This window comes from Homo sapiens, chromosome 17 (assembly GCF_000001405.40).
Source record: "Homo sapiens chromosome 17, GRCh38.p14 Primary Assembly".
Taxonomy (NCBI): Eukaryota; Metazoa; Chordata; class Mammalia; order Primates; family Hominidae; genus Homo; species Homo sapiens.
In genome coordinates, this window is record NC_000017.11 from 80,034,978 (window position 1) to 80,051,032 (window position 16,055).

Here is a 16,055-nt window from a genome sequence, read left to right on the forward strand (position 1 = left end):
TTTGAACTTGACCCAGACAGTAAAACAAACTTTACCATAAGGCGAGACTAACTTTTGTTATGTCTTTTCTATTCATTTCCTATTTCTGAATCAAATCTGAACTACTTTGTGGCCAATATACGACACCAGCTTCCGAGTGTGGGAATCACAGGATTTCAGGATTCAGCGGCTTCCGGCAGGATCCCCTAGGTTATGTTTAGCAATCTTCAGTTGCCTTTCCTTTTTTTCTTTCCTTCCTTTCGTTCTTTCTTTCTTTTTCTTTTTTTTTTTTTCCCAAAGGAAAGAACAAGGGAGCCCAGGCGGAACGGAAGTGAGTATCCCGACACGCGGATCTTAAACAGCCCAGACCACCAAGCCCGACAGGCCGGGAAAGCTGAGCGCGCGCTGCTGGGGGGACGCACACTTTGGAGGCTGTGTGGGCGCGCGCCGGCACCCCACAAGTTCTCATCCGTCTGCTCCGCCGATTCAGCCAGACAAAGACCGCAAGTTCCCCGGTCCACCGCTCCAGACAGGCGGGGACCAGTCTCCCCGAATTAGGCCCATTCCGGGCCCGGGCGCCCTCACTCGCCGCGGGGAAAAGTCCCCAGGTGCCCCTCCGTGATCCAGGTCCTCCCACAACGCTCCCGCTCCTGCTGGCGCCCCGCACCCCGAGGACGGCGGCCGGACCCCGGCCCCTCCCCGGTCCCGCGGCTGCAGGCCCACGCGCCCCACGCGCCCCGCGCGCCCCCGCCCCAGCTCCGCCGAGGGGGCGCTGCTCGCTGCGCGGTGGACCCCTCGGACCCCGCCCCCGCGGCCCCGTCCGGGCCCCGATACCCACCCGGGTCCCGCTGCGGGGGCCGGATTCGCGCCGGCTCCGAGAGCCGCCACCGTCGCCTCCGCCGCTGCCGCCGCCAGTGAGGCGCGGCGGGGCGGGGACGCGCGGGGAGGCCCGGCCCCCGGCCCGCCCCCGGGCCCGCCCCCGGCCCGGCCCCTGCCTGCCCCCGCCGGTCTCCCCGCCCACCTTCTGGCCCAGCCCTGGGCCCAAGCCTCTAGTTCCCTGCTGGCCCTCCCTCAGGCCTCGCCGCGTCCCGGCCTCGGGGACTGTGCCCCGTCCCGAGCCTGGCGTCCCCAAAGGAAAGGCAGGGCTCCTCGGACGCTCCGCGTGCGCGCTGGCCCTCCGCTGCCGCCCTCTGCAGGGAGATTTCTCCTATTTCGGACTAGGAAGGGAAGATACGCTCCGGAAGACCCCCCGGGCGTCCATGCAAGGAGTCTCCGTAGGACCCCTGGAGAAGGGCACCGGAGCCCCCTAGGGCAGGAGATGGAAAAGCGCTCGCCATGCGCGGGGTCCCCGGCCCCCGGTGCCCCCAGCCCGCCTGCCATTCCCGGGCGCTTAGCAGTCCGGGGTCCCCAGGTGCCCGGCAGGTCCCTTCGGGACCTCGAGCCGCCCGCTGGGCACACGCTGACGCCGCTGTCGCTTTACAGAAATTGAGCGCAGCCGAGGCGGGACCCGGGCGCAGAGAGCGATAAAGGAAAAGCATGGTCGTGCTCTAATCATTACAGTCTAAGGGACGACACGTCGAGACGGCGCGCGCCTCTGCGTGCGTGGAGATGGCACAAAGGCCGCGCCGCCCCCGGCGGCCCCCGCCCTCGCAGCGCGCGTGGTCCCGGCCCGGCCGGATGTTGACAGCGTCGCCTAGCAACGGGAAATGGCGGAACCGGGCGGCGCGGCGGGCCGGTAAGCCGGGCCGAGGGGCAGCGGGTCTTGGAGTCGCCAGGCCGCGCTCTCCGTTCACCGCTCCAGGTGGCCCCCGCGTCGGCTCCTGCCTCGCCCCTTCGCCTCCACTCCCCCTTCCTCTCGCCTGTGTCCCTTCTCTCGCCATTTTGCTGGCCTTTCCCGTCCACTGCGTTCAGCCCCTCACCCCCCCGCCAACCCTTCTCACTTCTCCCCTCCTGTCCCTTTGTCCTCTCTCGGCCTCCCTCTTTCCCCTACTCCAAGCGCGCGACTCCCTCTAAAACCCGGGACCGCTCACTCTGCAGTCACCATGGCAACCACTCTGCGTGGCGGTCCCTGCGCGCAGTCCTCCTAAGAGTAGAGGGCTCTGCAGGGCGCGGGGCTGTTGGATACCGCCCCTGACCTTGCTCCGGGGCCACTCGCTGTGGCCGGAGACCAGCCCGGCCCCGCGCCTCCCTCCTGCAAGGACAGATCCCCTCTCGCAGGCTTGGGGGTGACCCGCGATGGGAGGGGTCCCTGCGGTTAGGCGGCCCGCGATAGTCCGCGGTCACCGTCCTGGGGCCTGGGTGGAAGCACTGAGCGCGCACAGGGAGGGCGGCTGAGTGAAGATCCCTGCCACCGGGCCTCTGCTCGCTTAGGCTCTGTTTAAAAGGATAGAAACGATTGGAAAGAGTTTGGCCTTTTTACCTTAGACACATCGGTATTGTTTCATTTTTTTAAAGGTGGGTCTGTATGTATTGACATGGAAAGACTAAAGGTATTATTAATAAAACGATAGGCATAAATGTAAAAGGGTAGGTATACTATGATCTCTAATTCAGGGTGTGTGTGTGTGTTTAAAACATAGAAAAATGTTGAAAGAATGTGGTCCTAAATGTTATCAATGATTATCTTGGGAAGGAAAGGGAAGATCACAGGGAACTGTCACTGTCTGTCTCTTTGAACATATCTATATTCCTTTGACAGATAAAAATAGCTTGAATCTTTAATTTTTTAAAAAAGATATACATATATATATATATATATATATATTCCTGTGCTACGTAAATCGTGGAGAAACTCAGAGTCCCCAGAACACTTACTCTGATCGCGCTACTTTCTCTACGTTGTATTTCTTTTCCCCAGTTTTGTCCCAGACACAAGTTATATTTGAGGTGACTTTTCTGGGGTGATCTAATCCTGCTGTTCCTTCGATGTTTTAATAATTATATTTTTCATTCATTCATGGAGCTTTGCTTTTGTGGCATCTCCGCCACCTGACAGGCATGATATAGTGCTATGGTTCCTGACAAACAGGACAAAGACGTGACAACAGCCTGGGGGTGGCAGAGAAGTAACAAGTAAATAAACAGATGTGCAGAATTCAGGAGGGGATAAGGACCAAGAAAAAGAAAGCTGTTGCTTGAAACTGTTCAATTGTTTCTCTAAAACCAGGTCCCATCCGGAAGATGGATCGGCTTCTGAGGGAGAGAAGGAAGGGAATAATGAAAGCCACATGGTAAAATTCCCTATGGGCAGTTATTCCGGGCTTATATTTACTAGGAATTAAAGAGAATCAGAGTACGGGCACTGTGGCTCACGCCTGTAATCCCAACACTTTGGGAGGCCAAGGCAGGTGGATCACATGAGGTTAGGAGTTTGAGACAAGCCTGGCCAACATGGTAAAACCCCATCTCTACTAAAAATATAAAAATTAGCCGGGCGTGGTGGTGCGCACATGTAGTCCCAGCTACTCGGGAGGCTGAGGCAGGACAGTGGCTTGAACTCGGGAGACAGAGGTTGCAGTGAGCCAAGATCACACCATTGCACTCCAGCCTGGGTGACCAGTGAAACTCTATCTCAAAAATAAATAAATAGGCCGGGCACGGTGACTCACGCCTGTAATTCCAGCACTTTGGGAGGCCGAGGCAGGCAGATCACGAGGTCAAAAGATCGAGACTATCCTGGCCAACATGGTGAAACCCTGTCTCTACTAAAAATACAAAAATTTGCCAGGCATGGTGGTTCACGCCTGTAGTCCCAGCTACTCGGGAGGCTGAGGCAGGAGAATGGCTTGAACCTGGGAGATGGAGGTTGCAGTGAGCCGAGATTGTGCCACTGCACTCAGCCTGGCGACAGAGCGAGACTCCATCTCAAAAAATAGATAAATAAAATTAAATTAAAAATAAATAAATAAAGAGAATTAGGACTTGGTCAAGTATATTGTATGATGACATTATCTTGCACCAGAACAAACTCAATTCAGTTGAAGAGAGACTCATTTTCTTCCTACCCCATTCTACAGTGTCAGTGATTAGTCAGGGATGCAAAGGATGTCCAACTTTGGGTTGCCCTGAGTTTTTCGGAACTCATTTCCTGTAACAAAGGATGCAAAAATGATTATGAAAAGCAGAGAGGGCCAGGCATGGTGGCTCACGCCTGTGGTCCCGGCACTTTGGGAGGCTGAGGCGGATGGATCTCTTGAGGCCAGGAATTCAAGACCAGCCTGGCCAACATGGTGAAACCCCATCCCTACTAAAAATGGAAAAATTAACTGGGCATGGTGGTACACACCTGTAGTCCCAGCTACTTGGGAGGCTGAAGCAGGAGAATCGCTTGAACCCAGGAGGTGGAAGTTGCAGTGAGCCGAGATCACGCCACCGCACTCCAGCCTGGGCAGCAGAGTGAGCCCCTGTCACAAAAAAAAATAAAAAAAGAAAGAACAGATAAACTGAAGCATGAAACATGATTTTTTTTTTTTTTGAGACAGAGTCTCACTCTGTCTCCAGGCTGAAGTTCAGTGGCACGATCTCAGCTCACTGCAACCTCTGCCTTCCGAGTTTAAGCAATTCTCCTGCCCCAGCCTTCTAAGTAGCTGGGATTACAGGTGTGCACCACCATACCCAGCTAATTTTTGTATTTTTAGTAGAGACGGGGTTTCACCATGTTGGTCAGGATGGTCTCAATCTCCTGACCTCGTGATCTGCCTGCCTCAGCCTCCCAAAGTGAAACATGATCTCTTAGTGATGCTGAGAAGGGTATAAATGCAGTTTTCCCATTGATATAATTACACTATAAAGAATAAAACCTCACAAGGTCCTTTATACTTTGTTTCCTGATTTTTTTCCTGCCACACCTTTACAGGTGTCACCACCAGAGAAGGATGATGGCCAGAAAGGTGAAGAAGCTGTCGGTAGCACAGAGCATCCTGAGGAAGTCACAACCCAAGCGGAAGCTGCAATTGAAGAGGGGGAGGTGGAGACAGAAGGGGAAGCAGCAGTGGAAGGGGAAGAGGAGGCTGTGTCCTATGGAGATGCTGAAAGCGAAGAGGAATATTACTATACAGAAACTTCATCCCCGGAAGGGCAAATCAGTGCTGCAGATACGACTTACCCGTATTTCAGTCCTCCTCAGGAACTGCCTGGAGAGGAGGCATACGATAGTGTTAGCGGGGAGGCTGGTCTCCAAGGCTTCCAGCAAGAGGCCACCGGTCCACCAGAATCCAGAGAAAGGAGGGTCACCTCCCCAGAGCCATCCCACGGAGTCTTAGGCCCGTCGGAGCAAATGGGCCAGGTCACCTCTGGGCCAGCAGTGGGCAGATTGGTGAGTAGCCCTGACTTCTGTTTTGTGCCAGTGTCGCACGGCCCACGGGGTTTGTCACCCTATGTGAGGAACTTGGGAATACATTATAAATACAAATTGCAATCCCTGTTAGAAATGTCTTAGCAAGGCTGGGTGCGGTGGCTCACGCCTGTAATCCCAGCACTTTGGGAGGCGAAGGTGGGTGGGTCACCTGAGGTCAGGAGTTCGAGACCAGCCTGGCCAACGTGGTGAAATCCTGTCTCTACTAAATATGCAAAAATTAGGCAGGCGTGGTGGCGCACGCCTGTAATCCCAGCTACTCAGGAGGCTGAGGTGGGAGAATTGCTTGAACCCGAGAGGCGGAGGCTGCAGTGAGCCAAGATCCCACCATTGCACTATAGCCTGGGCAACAGAGTGAGACCTTGTCTCAAAAAAAAAAAAAAAAAGAAAAGAAATTTCTTAGCAAGCTTAGGTCTCAGGATTCACGGTCAAATGCTGAGAGATCCTGGACTCTGCTTCAGTCTGCCCAAGCCCAAGGCTGGGGGCCTCCATAGCCGCCATCCACGTAAGGGCATCCAAGTTCCCAGGCTTCCAGAGCAGCATTGTCCAATACGGTCCATCAGTCACATGTGGCTACAGAGAGCTCTCCAAATGTGACTAGCGAGCTGGAGGAATGGAGCTTTTAACTGTTTAAGATTCTAATTTCCATTTAAATAGCCACCTGTTGCCAGTGGCTGCCATAATGAATAGTGCAGTTCTAGATAAAAACAATGACAATAGCTGCGTTCTTATATTTTTTCATCAATTTTCTTTAAACAATCACAAAGTTACAGAAAAAAATGGAGTACAATAAAAAGGATCTTTTATTTTCTTAAACACTGGAGAGTGGGTTGCGGATCTGGTCACCAAAGCCTTCGAACGCTTCTGTATGTTTCCCACAAACAGCTGGGACACAACCATCAAAATCTAGAAATTGGGTCGGGCATGGTGGTGCACGCCTGTAATCCCAGCACTTCGGGAGGCCAAGGCGGGTGGATCACTTGAGGCCAGGAGTTCGATACCAGCCTGGCCAACATGGTGAAACCCCATCTCTACTAAAAATACAAAAATTAGCTGGACGTGGTGGTGCACACCTGTAATCCCAGCTACTCGGGAGGCTGAGGCAGGAGAATCACTTGAACTGGAGAGGCAGGGGTTGCCGTCAGCCGAGATCGCACCCCTGTACTCCTGCATGGGCGACAGAGCGAGACTCTGTCTCAAAAAAAAAAAAAAATTCTGGAAATTGCCTTGCTCCATTTCCAAGGAATGCTCAGGCCTCATTCAGGGTTCACCAAATGTCCCAATGATGTCTTTTGTAGCAAAGAGATTCAGTTCAGAATCAAATGTTGCCTTGAGTGCTCATATTTCTGTAGTCTCCTCAGTCTTTCCTTGACAACCTTGACCCTTGTGAAGGTCATAGGCCAGCTGTCTTGTAGAGCGCCCCTCAGCCTGGATTTGCCCCGTGTTTCCTCATGATGGGGTTAGGGTCATGAGGCTTTAGTGGGACTATCACGGAAGCGACGTGGGGCTCTCAGTGCGTCCCACCAGGGATGCAGGATTCCAGCTTCCACCATTCCTGATGATGTTCACTTCTGTCACCAAATTTAAAAGCACCAAGATTCTTCATTGTGAAGCGACCTTTTACTCCTTTATACTTAATGAAGATTTTGTGGGAAGGTGCTTTTTTCTTTTTTGGTTTAAGATAGGAAGGCGAATACTATTTAGAATGGGAAAAAAATTGCAACAGATTCCAACCAGTTATTGAGGACTTCTTATATTTGCTTACAAACGTATACAGGTGTTATACAACTTTTGGCAGATTTATCCCTAAGTATTTCTCTTTTTTTTGAGATGTAGTCTCGCTCTGTCACCCAGGCTGGAGTGCAGTGGCATGATCTTGGTTCACAGCAACCTCTGCCTCCCGGGTTCAAGCAATTCTCCTGCCTCAGCCTCCCAAGTAGCTGGGACTACAGGCACACACCACCACACCTGGCTAAAATTCGGTATTTTTAGTAGAGATGGGGTTTCACCATGTTGGCCAGGCTGGTCTCGAACTCCTGCCCACAAATGATCTGCCTGCCGCAGCTTCCCAAAGTGTTGGGATTACAGGTGTGAGCCATCGCTCCTGCCCAGTATTTCACATTTTTGATGCCATTATAAATGGTTTCCAATTGTCTGTGGCTAGCATATAGAAATACAATTGGTTTTTGTATACTCACCTGATATTCTGCCACGTTGCTAAAGTCCCTCACTAGTTAGACTAGCTTGTTTGTAGAATCGGTAGGCTTTTTCACAAAGATAATCATCTCATCTGAGAAAAAAGACAGTTAACTTCTTCCTTTCCCATCCAGATGCCTTTTCTTTCTTTTTCTTGCCTGATTGCATTGGCTAGAACCGCCAGCACCATGTTGAATAGAAGCGGTGAGAGCAGACCTCTTGTCTTGCCCTGATCTTACAGGAAAAGCATCAGTCTTTGACTGTAAAGTGCCATGTTTGCTGTGGGTGTTGCAGATGCCCTTTATCAGGTTAAGGAAGTTCCCTTGTATTCTCGGTTTGTTGTATGTTGTTGGGTTGTTTTTTTTTTTTTAATCATAAAAGGGTATTGGGTTTTGTCAAATCCTTTTCTGTGTCTGTTAAGAAGACTGTATTTTCCTTTTTAGTTAGTTGATTTGGTAGATTACATTGATTGATTTTCAGATGTTCAAGCAACCCCGCATTCTGAGATAAACACAGGGAGCCACTTTGGAGTGATGTGAATGTCGGTTCCTCTTTAAACTCTTGGTTTATTTATATTCTTACATCTGCATAGACTCAGGGCTCTCCATGTGATTCACTGGGTTATAACCCATTACTGTCATTATGTATTTTGATGCTCAGTTTGGCCAGTGAGGGCCCATTTAAACCAGCCTTTGTGTGATCGGACGCACCTCCATCCTTCTTTGAGGGCTTTCTTGCTTTCTGCCATAGACTGCCCAGCCTTAGAATCAGACATTTCTCCAGGAGCCCTGTTTCTGTTAGTGGAAAATAGAATTTAGAAGTTATCACTTGGGTGCTGGGGTCCTCATTGATGCTGGGGTGTCACTGTCCCCAGGACCTCTCAGCGGCAGGAGATAGGGCCTGTGTGCGTGTACTGTACGTACTTCCCCCACATTTATACATACACCATGTACACAGACATTCGCTCACATCTATATTTATTGGAACACACCCCTGCGGCCGGCCTTGGCTCACACCCCTGCGGCCGGCCTTGGCTCACAACAGAACCTCTAATTCCATCTCACCTCCATAAGGAGTCCCTCCTGGTTTTCTCCTCTTCCTTTTTTTTTTTTTTTTTTTTGAAACAGAGTCTTGCCCAGGTAGCTGGGACTGCAAGCACTCACCATCACGCCCGGCTAATTTTTGTATTTTTTGTACAAGGGGGCGTCTTACCATGATACCCAGGCTGGTCTCGAACTCCTGGGCTCAGTCAATCCTCCCTCCTCAACCTCCCAAAGTGCTGGGATTACAGGCATGAGCCACCACGCCCGGCCTCCTCTTCCATATTTGTAGCTCCTTTCTCCAACAGGGAGAAGCCTGGCCCCATGATCCTTACTGTATTCACTGATGTGGTCAATCCTCCTGGATGTAACCTGTCTCCCACTTTTACTGCCTTGGCTGCCCCCTACTCCCAGCATACCTTAGGTTTCAATTGTTCTGCGAGGGGAGATGGGAGTATGGAAGGGAGGCAGGGAAAGAGGATGCTTTATACTTCTTAGCACTGACTATGGGATAGACACTGTTCTGTGTTGTCTTAGAATCCTGACAACCCTACGAGGTAGGAACTATGATTGTGCCCATTGTACAGATGAGGAAACTGAGAGGTGCAAGGTCATTGCATAGTCACCCAGCTGTTGCGGCAAACGGTAGCTCTTGCTTCAAAGCCACCGTTCTGAACCACAAGGCACCCATCCCTCCTACTCCCCTACCCTGGGAAACCCGAAAGAGTTTCTAAAAGTCACTTTGGAGAACAGCATGATTCAGTATTTGGTGAGCCCTAATTAAGTTTTATGATCACAAGTGACAAATATAAAACCAAAACCAAAATCTTATTTTAAGAATTTATCAACAACAACAGGCCAGGCCTAGTGGCTCATGGCTGTGATCCCAGCACTTTGGGAGGCCGATGCAGGCGGATCACTTGAGGCCAGGAGTTCGAGACCAGCTTAACCAACATGGCGAGACCCCATCTCTACTAAAAATACAAAAATTAGCCGGGTGTGTTGGTGCACACCTGTAGTCCCAGCTACTTAGGAGGCTGAGGCACAAGAATCGCTTGAGCTTGGGAGTCAGAGATTGCATGAGCCAAGATCATGCCACTGCACTCCAGCCTGGGAGACAGAGCGAGACCCCATCTCAAAAACAAAACAAAACAAACAAACAAAAAAAAAAATATATATATATATATATATATCTCAACAACAGCAAAACCAGTGTCTTCACCTTTGTTTAAGTGAAGTCTAGGTCACTTGTTGCTCTGTAAACCCGATTTTCATCCTTGGGCCTAGTTTCTAGAAAATACACTGGGAAGTAGTTTTCAAATATGATTGAAGAAAGGGCAGGGACAGCCCCTGAGCGAGCCTTGCTTCCCACCTCCCACTGGCTCTCAGTCTTTGGGACAGTGTGAGTGGAGCTTGTGTCCAGTTGTGCACACGGACACCCGGAAACCTCTCATTAGGAGAAGCCACTGCTGCGCACCCTGGAGATGGGTTTTGACCCTGGGCTCCCGTTAATGTTGTTGTGGCTCCAGATGCCTCAGAAATAACTTCCAGAGTCAACACCATCTGCGGAAGTGCCGTGAGACGGTGCATGGGCTGGAGACAGAGACAGCCGGCGCCGAACATACCTGGGGCTGCCCGTGCAAACTGGGGCAAGCCCTTCAGCCTCCATGTGGCTGCTTTACTATGGAGAACAGAAATGACTAGAACCTGACTTGTGGGGTTATGGCGAGGGTGGCATGAGATGAGCTTTGTAACAATGTGTTGTTTATGGGCAGCAAAACCCTGACTCATTGTCTGGGTTACTAATATCCAAGAGTTCATCATCAGCGATAATTATTGTCAATAGTCGTAACTGCAAAAGTCTCTTTTAAAGCTAAAATGGATGCCGGGCACAGTGGCTGTAATCCCAACACTTTGCGAGGCCGAGGCGGGTGGATCACTTGAGGTCAGGAGTTCGAGACCGGCCTGGGTAACATGGCAAAACCCCGTCTCTACTAAAAGTGCAAAAATTAGCCAGGTGTGGTGGCAGGTGCCTGTAATCCCAGCTACTCAGGAGGCTGAGGCAAGAGAATCACTTGAACCCAGGAGGCGGAGTTTGCAGTGAGCCGAGATGGTGCCACTGCACTCCAGCCTGGGCGACAGAGCGAGAGTCCATCTCAAAAACAACAACAACTACAAAAAACGCTGAAAAACAGAGCTGGGGAAAGGCATTAAGGGGAGGGCTTCTCATAACAAAAACTATCACAAAAGACTCTGCAAACCCCACAATGTTGCACAAAGATCATCATAACCTTTCAAAAAAAAAAAAAACACTTCTGCTAGGACAGCTGCCAGCAACTGCCTGTCGAAACTTGGACTGATGCCACCCTGTTATTGATCCTTACAGCCAAGGAGAATTATCGCAAAACAATTATGTAATCCTCCTCATTTTTCCTGTGTCAACTTTCATCTTCCTTTACCTCCCCAAATACAAACATAATTTACTATGACACCCGTATTCCCATTGCAATGCCCTATCCCCAAATAAATGTCATTTTCCTTTACAGAACCTCTCTCTGTTTGTTATTTAGGATGATACATTGCTCAAAATTTAACATGATTGTTAAAGTAATAGGAAATCACTTGGATATAAAAATCATCATTTGACTTTTGCAAATGTCCAAAATGGAAAACATCTAACTCTCCCCCGCCCAGGGAATTCAGAAGTGGTTCCCCCAGCTCACACCTGTAATCCCAGCACTTTGGGAGGCCAAAGCGGAAAGGCTGAATGAGGCCAGGAATTTGAGACCAGCCTAGGAATCATAGCAAGACCCTACCTCTAAGTAAAATATTAAAAAATTAGACCAGTGTGGTGGTGTGCACCTGTAATCCCAGCTACTCTGGAGGCTAAGGAGGGAGGATCACCGGAGCCCAGAAGTTGGGGGTTGCAGTGAGCTATGATTGCAGCACTGCACGCCAGTCTAGGTGGCAGAGTGAGACCCTTACTCAATAATAATAATAATAATAATAATAAAAGAGTGGTTTCTGCGTGTCTGCATCTGTAGCTAAGTGTAAACACCCAGGCACGAGAATGCATGGGTCCTGGGATCTTTTGCTCCCACATGCTGAGCGCCTCGAGGATGGGAAACCACAACTCTGAGCACCCTCTTCATGAAAGCATGCGGAAAAGCCTCGGCTCCTGGCCAGGGTCTCCCAAGAGGACTGTTTCCTCTTCTCTCCTTTCAAACCAGCCCCCTTTAGGGAAATTTCAATAAGAAAATGTCTTCCCTTCATAAAAACACCTGGCTCGATTTTAACTTTATTTATTTATTTATTTTTGAGAAGGGGTCTTGCTCTGTTGCCCAGGCTGGAGTGCAGTGCTGTGATCTCTGCTCACTGCAACCTCTGCCTCCCGGGTTCAAGCAATTCTCCCTCCTCAGCCTCCCAAGTAGCTGGGATTACAGGTGCCCGCCACCGCACCCAGCTAATTTTTGTATTTCTGGTAGAGACGGGGTTTCGCCATGTTGGCCAGGCTGGTCTCGAACTCCTGGCCTCAAGCGATCCACCCGCCTTGGCCTCCCAAAGTGCTGGGAGTTACAGGCATGAGCCACGTGCCCGGCCAGGTTTTTTAAAAAACACACAGGTGACTATATTTTGAGTCTGACAACTTTCACAAATGTAATGAGTTAAAATTGAATAACTTCTCAGTGGCAATTAAGCCCTGTTGACTTAGTTTTGGTTGTTCTTGCCATAGACAGGATCCACAGAGGAGCCCCAGGGGCAGGTGCTCCCAATGGGCGTCCAGCACCGCTTCCGGCTGAGCCACGGGAGCGACATCGAGTCCTCAGACCTGGAGGAGTTCGTCTCGCAGGAGCCAGGTGCCACCCACCTGCTGAGGTCACCCTGCCCTGGCGATGAGCCACCTGCACAGGCCCTTCTGTGCAAGGGATGCCACTCGTTTGTCATCCGTTACCTGTTTCCTGAGTGGCTGTGAGCTGAAAGAGAAAAATCTTATTAACAGATATGGATAACATTTATTGGGCATTTACTGTTTTATCTCATTTAATCCTAACAGTGACCGATGAAGTAGGAATCCTTCTCCATTTAACAGACAGGTTCCCTAAGGCCATTAAGGAACTGGTCCGATTAAGTGACAGAACGCGGCCTTCACCAAGATTCAGTGACGCCCAGCCCCATCCCCTGACAGCCATTTCTCACGGGCTCCTGGTCTCAGAGCGAGACGTGCCGTGACAGCAACCCCAGGCCTGAATCTGTCTGCTGGCTTTCAAAGGCTTTCCAGAACCCCTGTCTTCTTACGTAGTCCCAGTATCCCAGTGTTGTGGACGTGGGAGGGCAGATCAGGCAGTTGCAAATTCCCTGTGGTACCGACCTGCAGCCGGTCCAAACCTTTCATTACTTGCAAATGACATGAAAACAGCACGTGTCTAAATTAGTAAAAAAACAAGCCGGGCGCGGTGGCTCACGCCTGGAATCCCAGCCAAGGCCGGTGGATCACCTGAGGTCAGGTGTTCGAGACCAGTCTGGCCAACATGGTGAAACCCCTGTCTCTACTAAAAATACAAAAATTACCGGGCGTGGTGGCGGGTGCCTGTAATCCCCAGCTGCTCGGGAGGCTGAGGCAGGAGAATCGCTTGAACCCCGGAGGTGGAGGTTGCAGTGAGCCGAGATCACGCCACTGCACTCCAGCCTGGGCAACAGAGCAAGACTCTGTCTGGGGATAAAAAATATTGTATCCAATCCACTAGTTAAGTGGCCACCTTTCTGTTCACTCTTTATGTGTAAAGAAAGCCTCTCAAAAATAATTTCCTTCCTGCCTACCTTTAAAACGGGACGCTTTCTCTGGGATGCATTGAGTCAGGGAATAGAAGATGGGGTGAATGATGTTTCTGACCCACAGACCGTTGGGATGCTTTTGCTGTCACTTTCCCATCATGCTGCATGAGGCATGACAGCAGCTGTGCCATTGATGCCCCAGAATAGAATCACTGAGGCTTCTCTCCAGCAGCTCCTCAATGGTGTCGCTGTCTCTCCCCCCAGTGATCCCCCCAGGGGTGCCCGATGCCCACCCCAGGGAAGGAGACCTGCCAGTGTTCCAGGACCAGATCCAGCAGCCCAGCACCGAGGAGGGGGCCATGGCAGAGAGAGTGGAGTCCGAGGGGAGTGACGAGGAAGCAGAAGACGAAGGGTCCCAGCTGGTGGTTTTGGACCCAGACCACGTAAGGAAGCCTTCCCAGGTTTTGCTTTTGCCTACATGGATGGCGAATGACTCAGGCCCCTTTCTCTGCCTGCACTGTCTCCCACTCCTGACCCTAAATGCTGTACTTGTATCTCGCCTGTTCACTGCACCGTTTATTGGCACTGATTGACCTGCCTCTTCGTAGGGTACTCTCCTCTGAGGTTGGTATAGGTGAGGCCTGTGTTTCTCAACCCCGGAACCACTGCCCCGTGGGGCCGGGTCATTCTGTGCTGTGCCTTGCATGGTGTGGAACAGCATCCCCGAGCTCCCCCTGCTACATGCCAGGAGCACCACCCCCCCGCCTTGGTTGTGATCATCAAAAATGTCTCCAGGCTGGACGTGGTAGCTCATGCCTGTAATCCCAGCACTTTGGGAGGCCAAGGTCTGTGGATCACCTGAGGTCAGGAGTTCGAGACCAGCCTGGCCAACATGGTGAAACCCCATCTCTACTAAAAATACAAAAAAAAAAAAAAATTAGCTGGGCATGGTGGTGAGCACCTGTAATCCCTGTTACTCAGGAGGCTGAGGCAGGAGAATCGCTTAAACCCAAGAGGCGGAGGTTGCATGCAGACAGCCAAGATGGCACCAGTGCACTCCAGCCTGGGCAATAAGAGCGAAACTCTGTCTCAAAAAAAAAAAAAAAAAAATGTCTCCAGTCATTGCCAAATGTTGGCGGTGTGGGGCCCATCTTCGCAGCCACTGCCTTGAGGGCACCAATTGGATCGCAGCTCCCTGCCCCACCCACTGGCAAGGGGAAAAGGCAGATGTTGATTTCATTTACCCATCAGGACAGCTGCAGAGCTCCAGGAACTGCCGGAAGGAGCTGGGGGCTGCACAGGGAGGTTCTCTCCCCAGACCACTGCTCCACCCCACCCTCTGGCCCCAGCTCACCATCATTTTGCCAAAATATGCACTCAGTTCTCTGCAAGTGCCTCAGATGAGACCATGAGGTGCCTTTAATTTGTGGCTTCCAGAGTAAGAATCCCAAGCAGAAGCAGGGAGCACTCCACACGGAAGTCGTCTCTGGCCCACCGGAGGGAGACCTGTGGCCACCTGGGCTGAGCCCTGGGTCGGGCAGGAGGGTAACCAGAAAGGTAACCACCTGTGGTTTTCCATTGTTCTAGCCCCTGATGGTAAGATTCCAGGCTGCCCTGAAGAACTACCTGAACCGACAGATCGAAAAGTTGAAGCTGGACCTCCAAGAGCTGGTGTGTATCCGTCCAGTCTCCCACCCTGGTCGGATGCCTGCGTCCTGGTGACCCTGTTTCTCTCTTTGGTCCAGGTTGTGGCTACCAAGCAGAGCCGAGCCCAGCGGCAGGAGCTGGGGGTGAATCTCTATGAGGTGCAGCAGCACCTGGTACACCTGCAGAAGCTGCTGGAGAAGAGTCACGACCGCCACGCAATGGCCTCGAGCGAGCGCAGGCAGAAGGAGGAGGAGCTGCAGGCCGCCCGCGCTCTCTACACCAAGACCTGCGCAGCCGCCAACGAGGAGCGCAAAAAGTGTAAGGCAACCCGGCAGCCCCACACGCCATCCGGTCCTGGAGGGTTTCCCAGGGGTGTCTCCATGTACCATGGCCAGGCATCTAGAAAAGTAAGATGTGTGTGCATCCTGGAGGGGTTCCCACCCTTTTTAGGAGGGGAAGGCACATAAATCAAATGTCTTTTTGTTGTTGTTTTTTTGAGATGGAGTCTCACTCTGTCACCCAGGCTGGAGTGCAATGGCGCGATCTTGGCTCACTGCAACCTCCCCCTTCCGGGATCAAGCCAGTCTCCTGGCTGAGCCTCCCAAGTAGCTGGTATTACAGGCACCTGCCACCATGCCTGGCTATTTTTTGTATTTTTAGTAGAGACGGGGTTTCACCATGTTGGCCAGGCTGGTCTCGAACTCCTGACCTCAGGTGATTCGCCTGCCTCGGCCTCCCAAAATGCTGGGATTACAGGCATGAGACACTGCACCCGGTTATAAATATGTTAAATGGCACCTGTCAGGACAAAGCAGCAAATGCTGAAGCTGCTAACAGCCAGAGCGTAGAGATTCAAAACTGGGAGAGATGGGTGAGCTGCAGAGGTCCCAGGATAGATGAGACCAGGAGGCGAGAGCAGACCGGGGGTGATGGAGGGTTTCAATAGATGCGAATGCGAGGGTGAGGCCGGCACGACGGTCAGACCATGGCCCAGGGCCTGACCGCCGTAGGATGTGTGCGGCAGGTCAGTGGGTAGCTTTGAATCAGATGAGACAGTGGGGGCTACA

The 16,055-nt window shown here is 51.5% G+C and overlaps 2 protein-coding genes across 18 annotated transcripts in view, besides 4 other annotated features; one reads left to right on the forward strand and one right to left on the reverse strand.

Moving 5' to 3' along the window:
- TBC1D16 (TBC1 domain family member 16) overlaps window positions 1-895 on the reverse strand; it is a 103,530-nt gene extending 102,635 nt beyond the window's left edge. For all 15 annotated transcript variants that reach the window (XM_047435346.1, XM_024450577.2, XM_024450579.2 and 12 more), the window contains exon 1: window positions 818-895. The gene's annotated coding sequence lies outside the window, so the exon portion shown is untranslated. The remainder of the gene's footprint in view (window positions 1-817) is intronic.
- Window positions 894-963: a silencer, noted in NCBI's record as "silent region_9098". NCBI's record gives its function as "represses an Ori minimal core promoter by ATAC-STARR-seq in GM12878 lymphoblastoid cells {active_cell/tissue: GM12878}" and the evidence as "EXISTENCE:reporter gene assay evidence [ECO:0000049][PMID:35858748]".
- Window positions 1,154-1,273: an enhancer, noted in NCBI's record as "active region_12927". NCBI's record gives its function as "activates an Ori minimal core promoter by ATAC-STARR-seq in GM12878 lymphoblastoid cells {active_cell/tissue: GM12878}" and the evidence as "EXISTENCE:reporter gene assay evidence [ECO:0000049][PMID:35858748]".
- The window catches only part of CCDC40 (coiled-coil domain 40 molecular ruler complex subunit), a 63,972-nt gene continuing 49,581 nt past the window's right edge, over window positions 1,665-16,055 (forward strand). For all 3 annotated transcript variants that reach the window (NM_017950.4, NM_001243342.2, NM_001330508.2), the window contains exons 1-7: window positions 1,665-1,714; window positions 3,146-3,209; window positions 4,835-5,293; window positions 12,302-12,425; window positions 13,606-13,784; window positions 14,929-15,012; window positions 15,087-15,306. In NM_017950.4, the coding sequence (NP_060420.2) occupies window positions 1,686-1,714; window positions 3,146-3,209; window positions 4,835-5,293; window positions 12,302-12,425; window positions 13,606-13,784; window positions 14,929-15,012; window positions 15,087-15,306 (1,159 nt within the window). In that variant the 5' untranslated portion in view covers window positions 1,665-1,685. The remainder of the gene's footprint in view (window positions 1,715-3,145; window positions 3,210-4,834; window positions 5,294-12,301; window positions 12,426-13,605; window positions 13,785-14,928; window positions 15,013-15,086; window positions 15,307-16,055) is intronic.
- Window positions 2,173-2,467: an enhancer, noted in NCBI's record as "tiled region #13982; K562 Activating non-DNase unmatched - State 4:PromP". NCBI's record gives its function as "activates a minimal TATA promoter and a strong SV40 promoter by Sharpr-MPRA in K562 cells {active_cell/tissue: K562}" and the evidence as "EXISTENCE:reporter gene assay evidence [ECO:0000049][PMID:27701403]".
- Window positions 9,687-10,188: an enhancer, noted in NCBI's record as "H3K4me1 hESC enhancer chr17:78018463-78018964 (GRCh37/hg19 assembly coordinates)". NCBI's record gives its function as "activates a minimal SCP1, AML or CMV promoter by ChIP-STARR-seq in naive H9 embryonic stem cells {active_cell/tissue: H9 hESC(naive)}" and the evidence as "EXISTENCE:reporter gene assay evidence [ECO:0000049][PMID:30033119]".